The sequence below is a fragment of the Homo sapiens genome, chromosome 2 (genome assembly GCF_000001405.40).
Source record: "Homo sapiens chromosome 2, GRCh38.p14 Primary Assembly".
NCBI lineage: Eukaryota > Metazoa > Chordata > Mammalia > Primates > Hominidae > Homo > Homo sapiens.
Window position 1 is genome coordinate 156,533,133 of NC_000002.12, and position 22,272 is coordinate 156,555,404.

Consider the following 22,272-nt stretch of genomic DNA (forward strand, 5'->3'; position numbering starts at 1 on the left):
TGGGTTGTGACCACTCTCATTGTTGTTTTCTTCCTGTCCAGAGTGAAACAGGTATCCTTCAGAAATTTCATAGCATGTAGCCCTGAAGAGCACTTAGCTAGATTGTGGTGGTTTCTATATGTGTAATTGGTTAATCTGTTGAAGAGAAATAATGAAAAGCTGAGCAGTCTTTTTCTCCTCCATCAACTCATGAGCTATGAGCTATGAGTTCTCGAGAAATGTTGGAGCATTTGACAGCAGTATTTGAATTCTCCCTTGTGTTTCTGTTGCTGAAGCTGCAGCTTCCAAAATTGCAGGGCTTCTTGACCAGCCTGCGTCTCACCATTCAGCCTTTTAGTCCATTGAATAATCTGATTCTGTCAGCAAGGCCTCAGGTTTAGATCTTATTAGCTCTAGATAGTTTTTTAAAAATCTGCTCTCCAGAAATTTGCAGGAAGTCCCAAGATAAGAGAAAACTTCCTGTCAACAGTGCTGAATTTCATGGTGTGTGATTATTGGGAAGAAGTTGACTGAATGTTGATATGTGATACTTCTGAATTGAGGTGTGCCCAATGTAGGTCTAGGCATACATTATACTGTTGCTGCATGTATGTAAAATTTTAAAATTGGAATGGGAGAGTTCTCTGACCCCCCTCGCAGGATGTGCAATGGGTGTGGCTCATCTGTTCGGCCACCATGCTCAAACCCCTTATGGGAGGGGGAGCACACAGAAGGGCAGCTGCAGGAGCCAGGGTGAGCGCTTTTGGGCTCCAGCCCACGGTAGCGTCTAGGGGTGGGTGTCTGTGACTCCTGAAGCCCCAGTGGGCATGTCACAATGCTCCTTTAGCTCTGCCATCTGCAGAAAGCTAAAGCGTTAACCAGCTCAGTGCCCTCTTGGTACCCAGGTTCTTGTCTGGTATCCAGGAAGTATCAGGTCACACAGACAAATTGAAGGATGGTAAATGCGGGGTGTCTTATTTCCAGGTGGAGGTGGCTCTCAGCAGATGGATGGGGAGCTAGAAAGGGGATGGAGTGGGAATATGAACTTCGCCTGGAGTTTGGCCGTCCTGTGGCCGATCTCCTCTCTGACCATCCACAGCCAAACTCTTCTTGATGTTTAAATGCCCTTTCTCTTCTCTCCTCTGCTGTGCCACTCTTCTGCTTCTTTGCTCTTCTGCTTATCTGTTATCTGCTCATCTGCTCGAGGAGCCTGGGGTTTGGGGTTTATAATGGTACACGATGCAGGGATGCAGCAGGCCAAAAGGAAATGTTTGGGTGCAAAAACAGGAATGCCTGTTCCCATTTAGGGCCATGGGTTTCCAGGCTTGAGGGTGGGGCCTTTGCCAGGGAACTGCCTTCTTCTACCCAGTATTTCCTTGCCTCCTGTCCATATCAAAATGAGTATCAATACTCTGTAAGATTTTCTTTTGTTTACTTCTGTACTCTATTCTTCAATATTAGATTTAATGTATTAGTCTTGGGATTGGAATGACTATAAAGGAAGCAGCATTTTGTATAGTAAGTTGAAAGAATCTGTAGGTTTATAGCTTTCTAAGTAAGATAGTATTCTCAGTTGTTTTTTCACATGACTAGCATTTACATTTATTTATGTATCCAGTAATTATATGAATACCATCTATAAGTCAGCTAATGTGATAGGTAATGGAGATGAACAGAATAACATGAATTGCTTTTTCTTAAAAAAAAAAAAACTCTAACAGAGGATACAGACAAGGAAACCATTGATTTATGGTTGCCTGTGAGAAGTTCTGTGACAAGCATATACCTAATATGGGTATGTGTGTGAGAGAATCTAGGAAAGCTTCCTTAAGTAAGTAATGCTTTGCTAAATTTTAAGAAAGGGTAGTATGGCCAGGTAAAGTCAGTGGGGGAGGAAGATGACAGGGAACACTGTGGCCAAAGCATGCAGACCCATGGAATTACAGGAAGCAGTTGTGTAGAGCTTGAGTGTAGGGTGGTGTAGGGCCTGAATCATGGAGGACAAGGTATGCCAGGATGAGGAGTTTAGTTTGAATTCTCTAGGCAATGGGCATCCAGTGAATGCAAACAGCATTTGATACAGGTACTCAGGGTGCAGAAAACTGAATGATTAATAGGAGGGCATTAGATGAGATTTTATGCTGATGGGAAGGAATCCCAGGTGAGAGAGAGAGAGAGAAAGAGAGAGAAAGAAAGAGAAAAAGACCTGGGAAAGAGAGAGAGAGAGAAGAGAGAGAAAGAAAGAAAGAGAGAGAGAGCGAGAAAGAGAAAAAGACCTGGGGGGGGGCGGGGAGAGAGAGAGACCTAGGAAAGAGAGGGGGGTGGGGAGAGAGAGAGAGAGAGAGAGAGAAAGAAAGACCTGGGAAAGAGAAGGCATATTACATGGGCCATTATCCATCTGCTTGCTTTAATTTCTTGGACAACTCCAGCATCTACTACCCAGATTTTCTTGTTGTTGTTTTTTTTTGTTTTGTTTTGTTAGTTGTCTTTGTGGCTTACCTCTTTATTTGTGTAGCCGCCCTTTCTTGTCTTTTGTTACATCTTTGATTTGGAAGTGAATTAATAAATGAATGTCAAGTGTTCCCAAATTCTGTTTTAAGAATAATCTAGATCTTTTAAAGCTTCGGTAATGTGGGCTTTAAAAAATCTGTGATTGCCCAACTGGTTTATGTCAGCATTTTGGAAAGAATATCAGTCTTTAAAGCGGTGTTAGAGATATAAACCCTCTGGGGAGTGAAGAATGCCTGGTGCATGCTAATTTTGTACTTATCCAGGTGGAAGAGAGAGAGGAATAGCCAAAGCTATAGATAGAACAAAGGCATGTCAATTGCAACCTGGTCTCAGTTTAGGCTTAGCTCTCCTCACCAATCCCCTATCAGGATATTAGTGGCTTATTTATTTATTTTTAACCTGTATCATATTAAGCTCTTTGACAAATCGCATTTTGATTTATAGTCTGTGCTTCTGGCATGTGCTTTAATGGCATTAGCCAACTCTAGACACATACTGAATTCATTATGTACCTTATGTATGTAAGTAGTAATACTTCCTTTTAATGAACATACGGTCACGTCAAAGTGCTGCGAGGTTGTTTTACAAAAGCATCTTTGTGTAGTGCTCCTCAGAAGTTTTGAGATGAGTATTAAGTTGAAGATTAATATGCTGTATTTTAAGTTGTATTTTAGTGGAGTAATGTATTATAATTTTGCCCTCTCCTTAAGGTGAGTAGACTATTATAGTCTGAGTCTTTGATTCTTAGGCTTTGGTTCTTAATTAGAATTCAACATTGTTGACATGTAAATTGTGACCAGATGAATTCAAAACTCAAAAAGTAAAATTGCCTTTGAATTTGTATCCTCAGCTACGATATTGATTGAAAATCGATGAGTAACTCTTATTCTTGTTTTCTATAGGCAGTAAGAAATTCACAGAATCTATTTACAGCTATACGTGACAGCACTTAACCTTGACTATGCCTGCTAAAAGGTTTCTTGACTTTAAAATGTGGATACTCTTCAAGATTTGAGGGCAGGGCTTCTCCTAAGGTAGAGGCAGAGAAGTAAACCAGCAACAAGTAGGGCTCAAGATCTAGCCTGTCTGATCAGGCTTCCAGACCAAGGAGTGGCAGCAGTCCAAACCACCTGTCTCTGCTGACTAGGCAATCTTAATAGCCATCCCACTCCTCATCAGTACGTGGGATCTGAGCACAGGTCTAAGCAGATTAATAGTTTTCTTAGTGAAGTGATCCATGGAGTCAAATGCATGACAGTATCTTCAGGATTCTGTGGGAAGAGGAGGGGGTCTATGGAGGACACTAGGTCATCCCCTTGAAAAGAGAGATAGAGACCATTACTTGAGGGAAGAGCTAAGCAGAATGTCAGAGCTTTGGCTAAGCAAACAGATATGAGCAGAGTTCTAGTTCAACTAGGAGCACAGAGTGAGAACCAGATATTGGGGCAGGAACTCTTCTGTTTGACGTCTACAGTGGGAGAGACTGCACACCTGTGAGCACAGGGATTCCTTTGTGTAGGGGTTCCTTAAAGACAGATAACAGTTTATGGGCAGATAACAGTTTCCAGAGGGATGGGGCTCCCTGTATAATGCCAGGGGCTGCCAGGATTGACTTAGGATTGACTCAGGGACTGCGTGGGGCTGACCCTGCAGGTTGAATGCTGTCAGTGATTACAACAGGGCAAGGGCACCTTGACTGTCTCAGAAACTAATAGAATCTTTCTTTGACAATAACCACTGGCGAGCATTTCCAGGAAGTCTTTGAAAATTGCTGGGAGTCTGGGCAAGAAACTCCACTCACTGAAAGCATGGTATTTGATTCATTATAAAACAGAAGGAAAAACATTAGTAATAGACGTGGTATGTCCCAGCCTTGTATAGTTGAAAGTAAAACTAAGTCATACGTTTTCAATTTGGTGTGACATTGTCTAATTTCTAAATTTATTATTATTTTGAAATTATAGGAAATGATTAGAAGTATGAGGGTGTGCTTCTTCTGTTGTTTATTTTTCACATTTGAGTCTTACTACATGTCACCATTGTCCAGCATTTCAGAGACAAAGGGAGTATTTTTGACATTCATTAAAACTGTTTTGGTGAAAGAGCTGTATTACGGTACTATTTAATTTTTATAATAGTTTATCAGAAATGAGATTAGAGCCTATTTATTGAATTATCTTATTTTGAAACTCTCACATATTTATTGAGTACAGATTAGAATCAAACTGTTTAGAATATTAGAAAAGTCTTTTTCAAGTACAAAGGGCAGAGATTATATCTGTAGGTAGTTCCCCCAAACCCCCGAGGGGAAGTTTTGTTTTAAATGTTTACATGTTTTATATTGACACATTTGTTGGCTTAAAAAATATGGCAATAGCATCTAGCATAGTGCTAGATGTATGTGGTTGCAATTTGACATTATTTTATTGATAACTATATTGTGTATAAACTTTCTTTTCATGTCTTTTTATGTGAGAGACATCAGATATTCTACTAGCTGTTAGGAGGTAGTGAAATTAAGTTGATTCTCACAGTATTTGCATCTCAGTCTTCTGCCTCAGCATGTGACCTTGCCTGTGAAGGTTCAGAATAGCTGTTTTATTATTTCGCTTAGGGTGATCGGGCTCTGGTAAATTGATTGGCACTAGCCCAACTCACAGCCTATTGAATCATGAATTTATTACTTTAGGCAACAAATAGTTTAACACCTTCCTACATGCCATACATTGTTGTCCTTGCAGGAGGTAAACTCTTGGAGAAGATGGTGGGGGATAGAACCAAGTTCCTGCCCTTAATTTATTCATTCCTATGAGAAGTGAAACATTCATGTAAAACAGATGACTCAGATTGCTGTTAAAAAAAAAAAAAAATCCAGTAGGGCAAACCTATTTGAATAACCAAATTAAGATCAGGATTGGCTGGGTGTGGTGGTTCACGCCTGTAATCCCAGCACTTTGGGAGGCCAAGGTGGGTGGATCACGAGGTCAGGAGATTGAGACCATCCTGGCTAACACGGTGAAACCCCGTCTCTACTAAAAATACAAAAAAATTAGCTGGGCATGGTGGCGGGCTCCTGTAGTCCCAGCTACTCGGGAGGCTGAGGCAGGAGAATGGTGTGAATCCAGGAGGGGGAGCTTGCAGTGAGCCGAGATCACGCCACTGCACTGCAGCCTGTGCAACAGAGCAAGACTGCATCTCAAAAAAAAAAAAAAAAAAGATCAGGATTTTGCCTAGTAACTATAGAGTTCAAGCAGAAGCAATGAAATGGTCTAAACTATAGCTTAAAAAACAATATCTGTTAAAGATATCTTTGTCAAGTAAGTCTGAATATTTTGCTTTTATAGTTAAAAAGATAATTAAATTCTGACTTTTTCATTTCATCTTTTAGAGTCTCAAGCCCCATATAAAGTTTCCAAATAAACATTAATTCTGGGTTGCTGAGAGATGTTATTCTGATAACTGAGGAATGTTTATGATTGAGGTATTAAATAAAAGGTTATCTTAACAAAAGGAGAAGGAAGGTAAATGTAGTAGAAGGCAATCTGTTAACAATATTAGCTTCATTCTTATAATGCTTTGCAGTTTACAAATGCTTTCACATATGCTGGAATCTGATTATTTCAGCGGTTCTAGGGGATTGGTAGAGAGGCTGTTGTTAGACCTACTTAATAGATGAAACAGACTCTGATGAGGAAAGGGACGTCCCCAGAACCTGAGTTAGTGGCTGGTTGGGTCCTGAACTCACACATTCGGAGTCTCCAGCATCAGTGCTCTCTGATGGGGGCCAAGAGTTAGCCTGCTTTTCATGTAAATGCCCTAGTACACATTCCTTTCAGACAATCAGGACATTGGGTTCAGGTCAGACTGATTTGATAACAATTTGATAAGGTGTGGAATCTTCCTGTGATTAAAGAGAGAAATCTGATAAGGTACAAGACTTACCATGAAACAGATAAAGGCTCTCTCAAAAGGCTGCCTCCAGTTAGAATTCCCCAGCTGGTCCTTGGCACATGGTTCCATGTGTTTATTATGTAGCTCACACTCGAAATCACCCCTGGGGCAGGTTGAGCCATTCCAGCATTTTGTAAAAAGTTGTGTGCATGTGCTCACACACAAATGAGGAAAAGAGGACTGAAAAAAATGGTTCTGTGAAAGTGAAAGGATTCACTTGCTTTTCCCAGTCCTATTATGAAAGATGGTTTAGTTATATCAAAGGGCTTCTTTTGACTTGTTGTATAATTCGATTCTTGAGTTTTCAGTTGGCTTATTTGAAATTTTGTAAATTGCAATTTATAAAATTGGAGGGCCCTGAGAGATCAAGTTCCACTTGTGGCTCGAGGAATGAGGATACTGAGATTAGGGGTTAGGGCTTGCTCAGGTTTTTGTTGCAGACAGGAAAAACAAAAAATCTGGTTAACTTAAACAGAAAAGAAATTCTCTGATAGGACATTGAGCAGCAGGCAGAAATACTGGGAAGACAGAGACCTAGCTTGAAAAATAAGGGACTAAATATGATTTGTAGCAACCACAGCCACAGGCAAAATCCTGACCCACAACCAGTGCACCGAAGACTTGATTGCTCATCACGTCACGTCTTGCTGTGCCACCACTGCTGACATCTCTATTGCTGCTGCCCCTAGAAATGGGATGGTACTGCTATCATTGCATCTACCTCTGGATTAGAGGTTCTTTGGGTCACTACCTCTAGATCGAAGACTGTTGAGAGCGTCGGACTGGCAAAGCCAGGTTAAAGTTCTGTATCCCAGGGGACCGTTCTTCCTCTCCTATGGGATGGTAGAATGCCTTTCTGCAAAGCTTACAAGATAGGAGGAGGGGTTTAGACGCTAGTAAGCAAAACCAAACCATACCAAAACATGAGACAGTTATCTGCTATGGAAACATACCCATTTACTGGCTATTTAAGAGGTTAGAACTTGAGTTTTCTGAATTTTCTCAGGATGCCAAATTTATAGCTAATATAGATTTCCTTTATGAAAAGTGACAGAGGCTCTGTGGTTTGTAAGAGAAAATGAAGTCCTCTGTAGTAAGATTTAATAATTCTAATATTTTGAAACAATCCATTTTCCTATCAACACTGTTTTCCTCTGGATTAAAAACCATTCCCCATCTTCCTATCCTTCATGACATACAGAAAAAAGAATCTTATTTTTCAGTGGTAAAAAGTGGAGAGAGAGAAAAGGAGTAAAAGAAGAACAAACAGTATTCATGCAGTGCAGAGATTAGAGGTTAGTTGTTACACATTTCAGGGTAAGTTTGCCAGATTGATGAGCAATAAAACCATTTAGAACTGGAAAATCTTCAGGGCTTTTGTTTTTAAAAGTTATTTTAGGCAATAACCACATCTTGTCGTTATAGTCTTTGCTTTCCAGCAATTCCTTTTTACCTTTTAATAATAAAAGCTAATATTTATTGAGAACTATTTTGTCATAGCATCATTATCTATCTCACTTCTTCCTCACAATAACTCTGTGTTAATCTCATTACTATTCTCCTTCCACAGCTGAGAGATCAAACCTTAGATGAAGCAACTAGCATGAGATTTCATAGTTCATAGATGTGGGACTTGAACTTAAGCATATACACCTGTGAAAGAAGCTTTGTAAATCTTTCTTTAACTTAAGAGAGAAAATAAGGTATGTGTAGAATGCTGTTTGGTAATATTTTAAGAAAACTGCAGAGGAAGAAGAAAGGAAGTGTGCTAGAAAATCAAAAGACTTTTGGGAGCATGTGACTCCTCCACATTAGGTAAATTTGCTCTTGTATCTCTGTTCCAGGACAGCTAGGCCATTCTGATCTCTTTCAATTTCTGTTCCCCACAGTAGTACTTAGCTTAGTGCCTGGTGCATAGTGGGTGTTCAATAAATATTTACAAAAATAATTAATCTCAGGCATCCTCAGGACAGTTTCCTGGGCTTAAGATGCCATGCAATTTAGAGTGCTGCTCTCAGTAAAGAAATAACTTTACCCTCAAAGCCAGGCATTTCAAGAAGGTTTATCAATGAATTTAGTGCATTTCACAAACAAGGAAGCTTACCAGGGGTTTTTAGGCCATATAACTGCATAGCCTGTGAAAGATCTCTATAGCATGTCTTGCTTCCTGACTTTCCAACTTCACTTCAATTAATTTTGTCACATTGCTCCCTTTTCCTTTTTCTTCCTTAAACGTATAAAATGCTGTTTGTTTTTTTTTTTTTTTTTTTTTTGGCTGTGGTCGAGAGAGAATGGATTGTCCTGGGAAAGGCACAAGGAATCTTTATTGTAAACTAATGTGTGGAACATTTTTGTACAGAAATAGCTAATGAATACCCAAAGCATGCTGTTGCTTGCTGTTTAAATGTGGTTTCATTTTTGTTCAGCTCTAGCTTCTAAGTGTCTTAAAAGGAGAAAACTTACTTTTCATTAGATTCATTTAAAACTTTTTCAAGAGAGGAAAGTCCTGAGGGTATAGAAACTTTATGTACTTAAATATATCATGTTAAGGAACTTCACAATGTTTCGTTTATATGGGGCCAAAGACCACAGATCCACCCCGATTGCTAATTATTGAGATTGCAAATAGCTTATTTCAGAACTTAGGGTGAGACAAAGGAAACATGAAGGAACAAAAGGCCCAGGATAATGAAAAGGATATTGTGAAGAGAAAGGCCTGTAGAATTATGATGCAGGTCACATCCTGTGCCTGCATTTAATTGTACCTTTGTATTTAATAATAAAAATGATTACATGCTCACTGCTAACAGGTGTCCCTGCTTCAGAACTGTAGTATGGATAGGTGACAGCAAATTACTCCAATTCATAAACTTGGAATATTATGCTTTTATTTTGAGTTTCACCAGTCTATACTAGAATACATTTTCTGCCAAAATGTACATCAACCCAGGAAGATTTTTAAACTTAGCCCCTGATAAATATACATAAAACATAGGTGAATATTTTAAAGTATAAATGAAAGAAAAAATCAACTTTGCCAGGCACTTAACACATTGAGGTTGTATTAATACCATAGTCACATTTCTAGTTCTTTATATTTTATATAAGCTTTGAATGTAATGTAAATTAGCAGTGATGTAAGTGGTCTTTCTGTTAGAACTTAATTGCCTCCTTTATGAATTTTCTCTAATTCTTGCTTAACTTGAACACTTTCTGTAACTGCCTGTCCAAAATATAGCCCCTGCCCTAGGGATTTGTTCTCCTCTGTTTTTCCCTTTATTGCCATTATTGCAATAACAATGTTCTTATTAATCTGTTTGATTTTATCTGTCTTCCTCATTAGAATGAAGTTCCATAGGACAGAGACCAAGGTAATCTTATTCTCCCTAAATCAGTGGTTGCCTAGTACCTTGACCATGCCTGGCTCATAATGTGTACCCCCAAAAATATTTGTTAAAGACATTCGTTAATCTGCCACTTACCGTCTTAATCATATACCAAAAACCCTGCTTGCTACCTTAACTTTATCACTAGCCTCCTCCCTTTGCTTATGTTTTCACCAAAGATTTTGTGGTTGAAGACATTCTATTTCCATTGTCTGTTGGGTAGCTAGGTAGAGAGATAATAGTCCCCCTTGATCCCATGACCATAGTTGAATGGAAATTGAGGGGTTGGGGACTGTTCTTAGACTCTTTAAGCCTTGAGCACATTTCCTTTATTTGATCAGCCTCTGAACTGTGATTCATTCATATTTGAATATCTGCTAGGTAGCAAAGGCTTTGGCAGGTACTGGGGAAGCAAATTTGAAAAAGATGCACTCTGTTCTTTTAGGAACATATCATTAGAATTGATGTCCCATAAGTCTGTAACTGTGTCTCTTTGGCTGTGCATTATAGACTCAGTTCCTAGCACAATCTCTGGTACATTACAAGTGATCAATAAATGAGTGAATATTCCATGCAAGTATTTAGAAAATAGCTTGTGCTGTAATAAATGTATGTACAAAGTTCTCTGGAAACACAGAAGAGGGAAGGCCATTGTGTCTAAAAGGAGTCAGGGAAAGTTTCACAAAGGAAGGATTAAAAGTTGAGTTTACCAGTTTGGGTAAGATGTACCACATAGTAAGGACAACATGAGCAAGAAATCAGAGGTGTGGAAGAGCAATATTTTATTTGAGTTTGGGCACTGCGGTCAGTCTGGAAATTTAGGACGAATGTGAAGGAGTGGTGGGCATTGAGGCTGTTGGAATCATTATTTATTCCCTTATTCAGGTACCCTATGCACTAAGTAGCTCCTGTGGCACAAACAAATCACCTTTTATTTATAGTATTTCTATAGAAAAAAGAATTGAGTTCCAAACATACAGTTTTGAAGATAGATCCTGTTTATAAATGGGGATTAACTTTAGTAGAAAATTGGCTACATTGCCTATATGTTATCTATTGCTGTAATTCTTCATACAGATAACCACAAACGTGAATGGCATAAAAATAATTAGGGTTTATTGTACATGCATTGGAATGCTCATCAGGTGGCTCTTCTGATATAGTCTGGGTGGGCTGGGTGATTTTCTGTTCTCCATTGAACTTGCATTCCTCTGTGGAGGTGTTGGCTGTCTGTCAGCTGAAGTAGGATGGCTTTAGCTCAGGGGGCTACTCAACATTTGCTGTCATCTTCCTCCTGGTACCATTAGGCTAACCTGGGCATGTCCTTTTAATGACATTGGTGGAGGACAAGGGCACAAGCAGAAACATACAAGTGTTCTTTTGAGCCTCTGTTTCTGTCACATTTACCAACATTCCGTTGGCCAAAACAATTTCACATGGGTGAGTTGAGAGTTAGAGTGGGGCACTGTGAGGACTCAAGGCAAAGGGCATGGCTACAGGGAGGGGTGAAGGATTGGGACAATTTTTGCAATATATTATATAGCCCATACTGCTAATCAAATCAAAGTTTATAGATCTAACGGAAGCGTACGATTTCTGATTTCCTTGATGAAACACTTATCTTTTCAGCTTTACTGATGCCCAGTCTCTTTTTGATAGGCTGGGGGAAAGTCAGAGAAACCAGAAATGGGAAAAGGTTGAAGTGAGATCTTGAAAGGGATAGGTAATTATTAACAATTAGCTATTGCATGCATTGTATAATTTCAGATGTACCCGGCTCATCTCCTTTTATAGGACACTGAAGCCCAAAGCAGCACAGTGTATCACCCACATTCCCCCAGCCATGTTAATGACACAACCAAAAGTTGCAACTCAGTCATTCTAAGCCCAGAGCCATTCTCCACAATATCTTTTAAGATACATTCTCCCTAAACTGCCTCATATGCCTCCCTGACCCCGTCACTCCTCACACAAACAATCACTTTTGTAAATGGTTTATGTTTGAAAATTGCCTTGTTATCACAATTCACCATGAAGAGTGGGTTCTTATTTTGAGTTTTCCTTTTTAAGTTTACACATCATACCTTAAAGCAAAATAATCCCCTTATGTGCATGCATGTGAGTACGTGTGCATGTGCACACACATGAGCATACACACGCATGCCTACACACACTCATTCACACACACACACCACACACACATCCCTGTTTTGCCCTGCCTTTACCTGAATATTTCCAATCAGAAAGGGACATTTTGAATATAGTGGTTATATTAAATCAGCTTGAGTTTGGTAGGTGAGGCTTTGAATTATCTTTGCTAGACCTCTAAGGGGGAGCTGCCAGAGAGGTCACTGTGACACTCTCAGTCTGAGACAATGAAGCCTGGGGAATAAATTTAGTTAGAAATGAGATTAAAGCTTTAGGGAGGTATTGTTTCTTACCAGCATCATTTTTCCCCTTTCTTGAAGTAGTCAAAGTGATTGCTCAAGACTCAGGTCAGGACACAGGGACATGGAAGGAAATATTCTCAACATTTCAACAGTGGCAGTTTTTAATTGATGAAATTATGGACAGATGCTATTCTAATTGAGAAGTACTTTTTCTAACAAATAGAGTTTCTATACTGGCAGGTAGATATCAGATCAATAAGTCTGTGATAAGCATACCATTTAAAAGTATGCTATATTGAAAGGAAGCTTATATGTAGACTGACATAAATAAGAGTTTTAGACCTGAAGAAACAAGAAAATCCCAGGTAGTTTTATACCTGTGTTTTTTTCATATTTACTCATTCTTCATACTCTATACATCAGTGATTATTTTTCTTTTTTTGAGCTATTTTGCATGTTAACATAGTTGCCAAACTTTGACTCTGAGGAGAGCAGTATTGCTGTCTCCAAAATATTTATATTTGAGGCCTATCTTTTAGACAGTTACATTCTAAAATATGTGTGGTCCTGCATTTTTCACTTAAAATATCTCTTATTCTGCTCTGTGCAAGGTCATTGAGGATTAAGACAAAGTTTTCTCTACCACCATCAACCTTCATTCTTTTTGGTGGGTAGATTTTATATTTTGTTTCTCTAAACAAGAGAAAACAGTTATAGTTCCACCTCTTGTGTGCTTCCTCTCCTATGAGTTGTAGGCTCAGTATGTGCACATATGCAAGATTTCAAGTGCAAAAGAGAACAGAGTCGGAAACAGATTTTCACAGTTCCCGTCTGGGTCCTTGTGTAAGTGCCAATGTAAAGCTATTCGGTGATTAGTGAAAAACAGTATAATGTTGCCTGGCTCTAAGGAAACAGCTTTGAAAATCTAAACTTAATAAGCAGATCAATTAGGTGGGGGTTTGGGATTATTGTATCACATTCCAATGGCATGCAGTGTTGTCAAAAACTTTTTTCTCCAGAATAAAAATTACAGGAGGCATAGAGTTACCTTTCAAAATGTCAGGAAAGAGGGTTGGGGAAATTAGTTAGGAATAATGAAAATATATCACGTATATCTCAGGAAGCATATACTGTGAGCATCTGGGTATCTCAGGGTAAGGGGTAAGGGGTAGGGGAGGAGGAGGTTTACCCTGCATCCATGGAGGTAAATGGATTAAGCTGAATGTCTGGGAAGACGAGGATTGCTGGGTGGAGGTGTGAGGCCCAGGGCTCGGGGATACCATCAGATTACTTGCTCCTCAAGTTTTGGGAGCTAATAATACCTGTGCTTGCATTTCCCTGCAAAGCAAGGGATACCTTCTGGGATAAGTCCCGAGGGAATCACTCATAACTATTTCTGCTTCCCTCCCACTTATTTAACATAAATATAGGGCCTAGTTTGGGGTTAAATTCAGATTTTACACATTTATGTCTCTGTCACATTTCTTGCCACCAACTTACTGAAGTCTGAAATTTCTTTAACAAGAGGAAGTATTCCATCCCATAGTTAGAAATGTAAGAATTTCAATACCTGTTTAACACAGCGAATGAGATTAGGCTAAACTTAACAGTAATTGGAAACGTATTCTGTACCTGCTAATAACTAGAAAAAAAACAAAGACAAACAAGTAAGCCTTTCTGTTTTCTCTTGAGACGTGGGAATTGTACAGTAATTACAGTGGGATGTAAGTTTCACGAAGGTAGAGATCACCCTGTGTCTTTCTCAGTTATATTCCGTGCATTTGTCACAGTGCCTGATTCATAACAAAGGATTTTCATTTTTGTAAGTAGATGGACACATGGATGATTCTAGTATCATAAAGACTATTTAAAAAGGTGTATACAAGATAAAATGTTGACCCAGAGGAAGCAGTGAATAATTTTGCCCTGGAAGGATGCAGATAAAGGGAGACTTTCTGCATCCCTCCAGGAGATGCAGAACTAGACATTTGAACTCGATCATGAGAGATGAAGAGAGGTTTCTCAGAACTTCCAGGATGGTATCCAGCCAGAAGAATAAGTGTGTGTAAAGGCAAGGTGGGAAATGACATGAATGTTCAGGGAGCTACAAATAATTTCACAATTCTAGGTAGTATGAACCATGGCAGACGAGGATCATATCATGAATGGCCTTTTTGTGTAAGTGACATCTCAGATTTGAGTCAAGACAGCTGCTGCTGGGAACTGGGGAGTGGACATAGAAAAACAAGGACCATAGGAACTTGTTTCCACCTCACATTTTAAACTGAAGTTAAGCTTGCTTACCTGCAGTCATATTCAGATTTAGATGCTAATTAGGGAACATTTGTTAGTATGGAAGCTACAGAGCTTGAAGAACTATAACCTATACTGCTCCAATGAGATTTTATATTTTAAACACATATTAAAAGAAAATTTTATCTTTTTAAAGTCACCTTAGAGTCAGATGAATGTATAACTGTTTTCTAAAGGAACTATCATTTCATAAATGGAATTTCTGCCTGGTTCCTTTAAATAGTGGCTTCATTTAGGATTTAAAATATTTCATTTACACATGGCTTTCCAGAGGCTTCAAGGCACACCTGGATGGGTGAGCGTTTCTCTAAGCCTATGGTAAGAGCAAGCATGACTTGGATTTCTTGTACTACCAGATATGTGCCTTTGTGGGGCAGGGTGTTTCCTTGTTAGATATATAAATCAACCAGAAAGATTGGGTCGGATGGGTACTGTGTTATTTTCTTAATTTAAGGAGAAGATCTATAATGGAAATTTTATTTAGTTTCTTTGGACTGTTTTCATGCATTTAGTTTTATAAAATGTATTCCAATTTTAAGCAAGGAACCCTACATTAATAAAAATTGATTTCTTCAGCTTAACTTCAAATATGATTTTAAGCAACCTTAGGATCATGCTGAGTTGAAACTATGGAACCGCTACCCTTCCCACTTATAGCTCAACTACTGCTATTGTCATTGTTTTTTTCTTCTACTTTCATTCTATTAATTGTTAGATAAAATAACTCCTTATTTTGCATGTTGAGGTTTAACATAAGTTCTCCACTTGATAGAGCATTTAATTTTGGGGGGACGGTTCTTAGCCGATTATATTAGTTCAGTGGTTTTAGAATAAGACGTTTGTGGGGAGGGGCAGCAGAATCTTCAGTCATTGATTCTCTCTTTATAACTTTGCCCTTTTAGCTGGAACAGATTACTTCTGTAGTGCTGCTAGCCCTGCACAGACTGAATCACAAGGAAGAAACTTTGCATAAACCATTTATACTAAATGTTTGGTATGCTGGCAACATAAATCAACAACAATATCCATTACAAATTCATCCCTTTATCAGTATTATCTTGATAGAACTGATCCCAATGTGTGGGAATTTGAACCCTGCTTCAATACATCTAGCCCTGGATAATTAATTATTCAGGGCACAGAGAACCTGGCCCCTGCAATGTAGAGTAATTCTTCCTGGTCAGCGTTAACTCCACTGGCAATAATAAATAGAAAAAGTCTCTAGTGATGCCAGTATTTTAAAGTGCTTAATCATCTTTCCCCCCTTCTCCTCCCCCTTAGTTTTCTTTAACTAGGATTTTTCAGCAATAAATCTTTAACAATACAGGTAGGAATTGTTCTGTAATTAAATTTTGCCCTGCTTAATTTCTTACCTTTTATGTGTGATTAAAAAAAAGTTACATTTTAAGAAGCCCTGATCAAAATTCAAACCAAGAAAAATCCTTTTACAGAATACTGAGAAATGCTCTATGGAAGATAAAGCTCTTGATTTTGAATATTAGATAGAGCACATACACATAAAAATACTCATAAAAATTGTTCATCAACACCAGTTGGGGTGTCAAATATTCTAAAGTTTTGAATTGCTTCACTTTCATGCTTACGATTTGTCTGTATTAGGAAAAGCCTGACATATACATATGTTCCAACACTGAGAGAATAATTACTTATTTCTTAACTTTCAGATAATTGATGTCAGCTCTGTAGGAAAGGGATATTTTCACTATTTTTATGGTACACGAAATGCACTTGCTGAAGCGGCAGGTAGATGCCTGGCTGAGAATGACCGTGTATTTTAAATTGTGCCCTGTCAAGCTGCCCAGCCATCATGCATATCCTGGGTGACAGGGACAGATGTGACATATCTGTTGTGACACACTTTTGTACCACCAGTCTGTGGCTCGAGGTGACTCCTCTCCCTCCCCTGATGCTTTCCCCGCTGCAGGACAACATAACGATGCACGGATGAACCTTGCCATTGCTCTGACTGCTGCCAGGTATGGGGCTGCCACAGCCAATTACATGGAGGTAGTGAGCTTGCTCAAGAAGACAGACCCCCAGACAGGGAAAGTGCGTGTGAGCGGCGCACGGTGCAAGGATGTCCTCACAGGTATGCCAGGTATCTGGGAGGGAGGTATTTCTTAGTATCTTGCCTAGCTTATATAATGACTGAATTATAATTTTTCTGTCACTTCTCTTTCATTTATGCCACGCTTCAGAGTCATATTAATTATATTCGTTATTGTCAGCAATGACTGGTTTAACGTGAAAATTTCCCTTGTAGGACTTGGCAATTTTTCCCCTTTGTATTATAGTTGTAATAATGATAATGATAATAATAAAATGCCCACCAAATTCCCACAGCTATGAATGGATTCCTTTTTCTTTACAAAAACATGTTATTAATAAAATTAAATAAATGTGCCAAGTTTCAAAGTATCATTTGGGTGACACAGGCATTGTTACACGTTGTTAAAGTGAATCTTTAACTTTATTTAGATTTTCATTATTGCCCTGGCTCTAGCGCCATATAAGTAGGCAGTTTCCAAATTATATCGTTTCTTGAACAAAAGCTCTATGATATACATTTTCTCACAGCAGTGCTGCTCACACATTTGAGTTTTCAGGAGAAAGCGGCTTATTTACTCATTCTACTTTTTCATGTTTGGTGCTTTGACGCTGGGCACTTATAAGATCGACAGAATCCATAATGAGAAAGTGGAATGCTTTTCTTTCTTCAATTCCGACTTGTTTTTGGTAAATTCACTCAGATGAGAGCCTTTTGTTTGGCTCTTCAATAACTTGAGCTGCTCAGGTCACTTAGTGTGGTATGCAGTATACTTCACCATGGGTTAAGTTAATAGATGAATTAGTAATACACAGCATCCGTTAACAGAGAAACAAATGAGGTGTGTGATTGATGCCACTTTCTTTCACAGGGCAGGAATTTGACGTGAGAGCCAAATGTGTTATCAATGCCACGGGACCTTTCACGGACTCTGTGCGCAAAATGGATGATAAAGACGCAGCAGCTATCTGCCAGCCAAGTGCTGGTGTCCATATTGTGATGCCTGGTTATTACAGGTAATTGTCTTCCAATGTGGCAGTTGTCACCCAAAAAAGAGGGTCAGCAGAGATTGTCTGGTTTATTTCTTCTTCTAGCATAGCAATAGATGGTCTAACTTGCTGTTCAAAATCAGGAGAAATAAGTAAAGGAACTCTTCCAAAACACAAAATACAAACCAGACTTGGGAAGTTTTAGCCACTTATGGCAATACTCGTTTCTAAGGGTTAATGCTTTGGGATCTATTTTTCTTTGTTCAGTGTAGTCACCTTCAGAGACTAAGCATTGGTATTTTTGAATTAAACTTTTACTTAAGTCATTAGCAAAATTAATTTTGCAAAATTTTTTATAAAGGACGTATTTTAGTTAAAACAATAAGACATGAATTTTGCAGAATACCCAAATTTGCTTATGAAGAATCTGAAGATGTGGGCTACCCAAGTATTCTTAGGTTTATAACTTTTGAAATAGATTAAAAAAAATATTGTAGCAAGCAAAAACCAGATATATCTAATCTATCAAATTAACAAAGATAATTGAGGATGAAGAAATGGGCAGGAGTAGAGATAAAATAAGAATAGCTATTAAATGAAAATCATTTAAGCTGGGTGATGGGTACATGGAGCGTCATTAAACTCTTTTTATATATGTTTGAAATTTTTAATAAATTACAAAAGAAACATTTGTGTGGTTCTGGCTAAAAAATAATTACCCATAACGTACATTTTAAGGTATTTATAGAAGAAATTCGTATGGCCATGCTAAGGGTGTAGAGCATGTGTACTGTTTTTATTTCCATATGTGGTAAACCTAGTAGGCAAAGTAGTAATTCTATATGAAATAATGACTTATGTGCAACAGTATTCATTATGGCATTGTTTGTAGTTGAGAAATATTAGAAGCTACTTCAGTTCCTCACCTTAGGGTAATAGATAAATAAATTATGGCATAACCACACAAGGGCATATTATATAGTCATTAAGAATTATAATTATAAATACTTTTAATGCCCTAGGAAAACACTAATGATATAATGTCAATTTAGAGTATAGGACTTGATATTTTATGTGCTGTAGGTTCTAACAATGTATATAGAAAAAGACTGGAAGGAAATATGTTAAATGTGAATGGTGATTATTTCTAGGTAATATGATTATGGGTGAGAGTTATTTCTTTCCATGTTTTAATAATTTTCCATAAAGGGAATATACAGCTTTTAATATTTGATAAAGTGGATGTGTAGAACCTATGATATTTTGTTTAATACTTCCATTCTCCTAGAATGCTATCCTGCTATGCTATAGATCATGCTGCCTTTTTAGTTGTTGGTTGTCCGGTAACTAAATCTTCCTGAAGAGTCTAAGATGCACCTAATTGGTACCAGATACACTTCTGAGAAAATCATTAAAGAGAATTTCTTATCCACCAACTTCCAAGGTTTCCTTTGCGTTTTCAAAATGCGTATGTGAGAGAAATAATAGTCTTTAGGATTTTTACTTTGGACTGGAGACATCAAGGTGCCTCTTAAGGCACCACTGCATAAGATAATAGAAATGTATGCAGTGGTACCTAATTGAGTTTTTAAAACTGTTGACCAGAAGCTTAGTTCAAATGAAAAGGAGAGAAATAAATATATGAAAATGTCCCATATGTTTCTCGTATATAGAGAAGTTTTCAACATTAGTTCCAGATGCAATTGTATACGCTTTTGTGTTCGATTAAAAATATCTAAGGCCAGCTAGTTTATGAGTTTTTGTTTGTTTGTTTTTAAGTATCTCTAAGAATGGAGTGTAGATGTAATCATCATACATCTTATATTTGTTTAGCTTTTACTAGATTCAACATATTCTCATGTGTTGTGTGCCTTATGTTTTCTTCACTATCATCCCATGATGTCAGAAGACAGAGATTATTCCCCACAGACCTTATGTTAATTCTGTCATTAAATAATTAAATAATTTGGGACAAGCCATTTTATTTTGTGAACCTTAGTTTTCCGTTCATTAAAATGGGCAAACATTCTGCTCCTTCAGAGTTTAGAGACAAAGAGATTGTTCGCAGAATTAAAGTGATACCTTGCTATAGGACTTCTGGGGTTTGTTCATCACTTTTCCTTGGGCTGTGTGGCCTGGGCAAGCTACTTCTTTCAGCTTCTGGTTCCTTATATCTTTTTTTTTTTTTTTTTTTTTTTGAGATGAGGTTTTGCTGTGTCACCTAGGCTGGAGTGCAGTGGTGCCATCTTGGCCCACTGCAACCTCCACCTCCTGAGTTCAAGTGATTCTCCTGCCTCAGCCTCCCGAGTAGCTCGCCCGCCACCACACCCAGCTAATTTTCATATTTTTAGTAGAGACAGGGTTTCACCATGTTGGCCAGGCTGGTATCAAACTCCTGGCCTCAAGTGATCTGCCCGCCTCGCCTCCCAAAGTGCTGGGATTACAGACGTGAGCCACTGTGCCCGGCCCCTTATGTACTGATAATACCTAACTGGTATAAGGTTTGACAATGATCCTTGGATTATTTTTTCTCTGTTTTATAGAGTGCTGTATCCCCAGCTATTGGTACGGTGTCTGGCACGTATTAGTGCCCAGTAAATATTTTTTGAATGAATCCTCCTAAATTTTTTATGTTAACTTGCTTATATTGAGATTGTTCCTTTATTTATATTAAAACTTTAATGTAACATTTATGAGATTTTTTAATATAGAGAATTCAAACTATGAAAATAAAACATGATTCTTCAACTTACTGCCCAGCTAACCCCTGTAGACAAAAATAAATAAATAATGTAAGTACATAACTAGAAATTTCAATCATCATAGAAAAAAATAGAAATATGAAAATGAAAATTGAAAGCCTGACTCTTATTCCCCCTACCTTTTGTTCCCTCCCCCAGTTCTTCTCTGGTAATTAATAACCTCTTCTTCCAATTCCTTCCTTAAAATCATGTTTTTACAAGCACAAATGTGTATTCTGTTAAAAATTTTGTGTGAAAGTGGTCATGTTGCATATATTGTTCTATATTATGCTTTATACACTTAGTAACAGAGTAGATTTGGTGTCTTTTAAGAATAAAGGTATATATTACCCAGAAGTAATATTTTAAAAATTCTGAATCCTAAAAATTCAGCATTAGCTTTAGGTCTCCTGAAGCATGAAGGTGTTAGTTACAGCTAGGTCTGTCTCAGGCTAAGATGCAGTAAGTGACCTCATTCTATGTTGGGAGAAATTAATATCCCCATTTTTGGCACTGTGAGCTATAACCACTACACATCCTGTTGGAAGCTTTGAAGGAATGGTCTGCAGCCTAGTTCCCATTCAGGCTCTCTTGCAGATGAGCCCCTTCTCTTTGGATTGTGACCTAGATTAAGGGTTCATTCCCTCATTCAGGACTGACCTTGAGGCAACTGTACTTCTGGCATCCCATAGGGGTGGTTTTCCTCTTCCTATCAAGTCATTCTCTTGGGTGATATTAGGAGATCCCAAACTGAAATGACTCTGTGGTATCATCAGTCAATCATACTTAGCAGCTGTCACTCAACAGTTTTGACTAGGTCTTCAGGGATGAACCAAAGCTTCTGGGGCTGCCCCACAACTGGCTAATGATAATTTAAAACCAGGCATGTTTCAGTTAGAACCTGATCCATTTGGAAATGCAGTGAGTTCAGCAAGCATTGATTTATTGTGTGTAGGCTGGTAAAGGAAGAGTAAGGAACCATATGTGCAGTGTATCTTCTTGGGCTGTTTTCAGAAGTATCTTTACAGCATTTGTTAATTTTGTTGTAACTTTAACTAATGTTCCAGTTGTGGAATTATCTTACACCATGATAGCAGCTTTTTAGGGGAAGAGGGGAAGAAGGAAAAATTGTTTTAATTTCGGAAAACACAACACAGAAATTATTTTTAAAGCTGCTCTTTATATTAAGAACAAATCTGGAATTTCCATGAGAGTTATGGGTAGATGCTCTTCCAAAAGCAATGATAATACACCAAACGACTGAAATACATGAAAATAATCATCTCTGTTTAGCCTACTGGTGCTTTTTACTACTGACAAGAGGTCAATTTTTTTCCTATAATGTGTGTACATACTGTTAGCTCTAACACTGATTGCTAAGTAGTTAACAATAAATTGATTTCAGTTTAACTAAGGGCACTTCAGGAAAGTGATGGTCTGCATGAGAAAAATATTCATTACATTTAATCCTAGACACACACATAAATTAGCAGCAAGCTTTTCCTCCTGATGTCAAATGAATCATATATATTGAAAAAAGACCTATGCCTTGTTGCATTGCGTATACTATCGCTATAGTTGATATCCATTCTCAAACTTTAGTGTGAACTTGCAAAATTGATCCTTCATGAGAAAACAGACTTTTCCCGAAGGGAAAATATGAATTAGGTAATTTAGAACTGATGAAAGATATTTCCAAGTGGATTCTTAAATTTTTATACCATTCGTTAATAGCTTTGTCTTCCCTCTGTGCTTGTTAATTTTATGTTTGTCACATATGTCTTCACTTAAGCAGTTGATTCTCTACAGGTTCCAGTTACATGTGTGTTGGTAACCATCATGTTCACCTTTTAAACTACTTTATTGCATTGCAAGTTTTTAAAAGATTCAGTAGTTGTGCATTTCTAATGGTATTTCCTTTTTAGGTTGATGAATATTATAATT

At 38.0% G+C, this 22,272-nt stretch overlaps 1 protein-coding gene across 10 annotated transcripts in view, besides 3 other annotated features; it reads left to right on the plus strand.

Annotated features, from left to right (window-relative positions):
• Positions 1-22,272, plus strand: part of GPD2 (glycerol-3-phosphate dehydrogenase 2) — a 186,123-nt gene that overhangs the window by 132,852 nt on the left and 30,999 nt on the right. For 9 of the 10 annotated variants that reach the window (XM_047443963.1, XM_011510977.3, NM_001083112.3 and 6 more), the window contains exons 7-8: positions 16,476-16,640; positions 17,470-17,614. In XM_047443963.1, coding sequence (XP_047299919.1) covers positions 16,476-16,640; positions 17,470-17,614 — 310 coding nt within the window. Of the gene's footprint in view, positions 1-9,792; positions 9,813-16,475; positions 16,641-17,469; positions 17,615-22,272 lie in introns of those variants that run through there. The other variant, XM_047443966.1, reaches the window with a different exon arrangement.
• Positions 190-239: an enhancer, noted in NCBI's record as "active region_16666". NCBI's record gives its function as "activates an Ori minimal core promoter by ATAC-STARR-seq in GM12878 lymphoblastoid cells {active_cell/tissue: GM12878}" and the evidence as "EXISTENCE:reporter gene assay evidence [ECO:0000049][PMID:35858748]".
• Positions 5,519-5,578: an enhancer, noted in NCBI's record as "active region_16667". NCBI's record gives its function as "activates an Ori minimal core promoter by ATAC-STARR-seq in GM12878 lymphoblastoid cells {active_cell/tissue: GM12878}" and the evidence as "EXISTENCE:reporter gene assay evidence [ECO:0000049][PMID:35858748]".
• Positions 8,340-8,389: an enhancer, noted in NCBI's record as "active region_16668". NCBI's record gives its function as "activates an Ori minimal core promoter by ATAC-STARR-seq in GM12878 lymphoblastoid cells {active_cell/tissue: GM12878}" and the evidence as "EXISTENCE:reporter gene assay evidence [ECO:0000049][PMID:35858748]".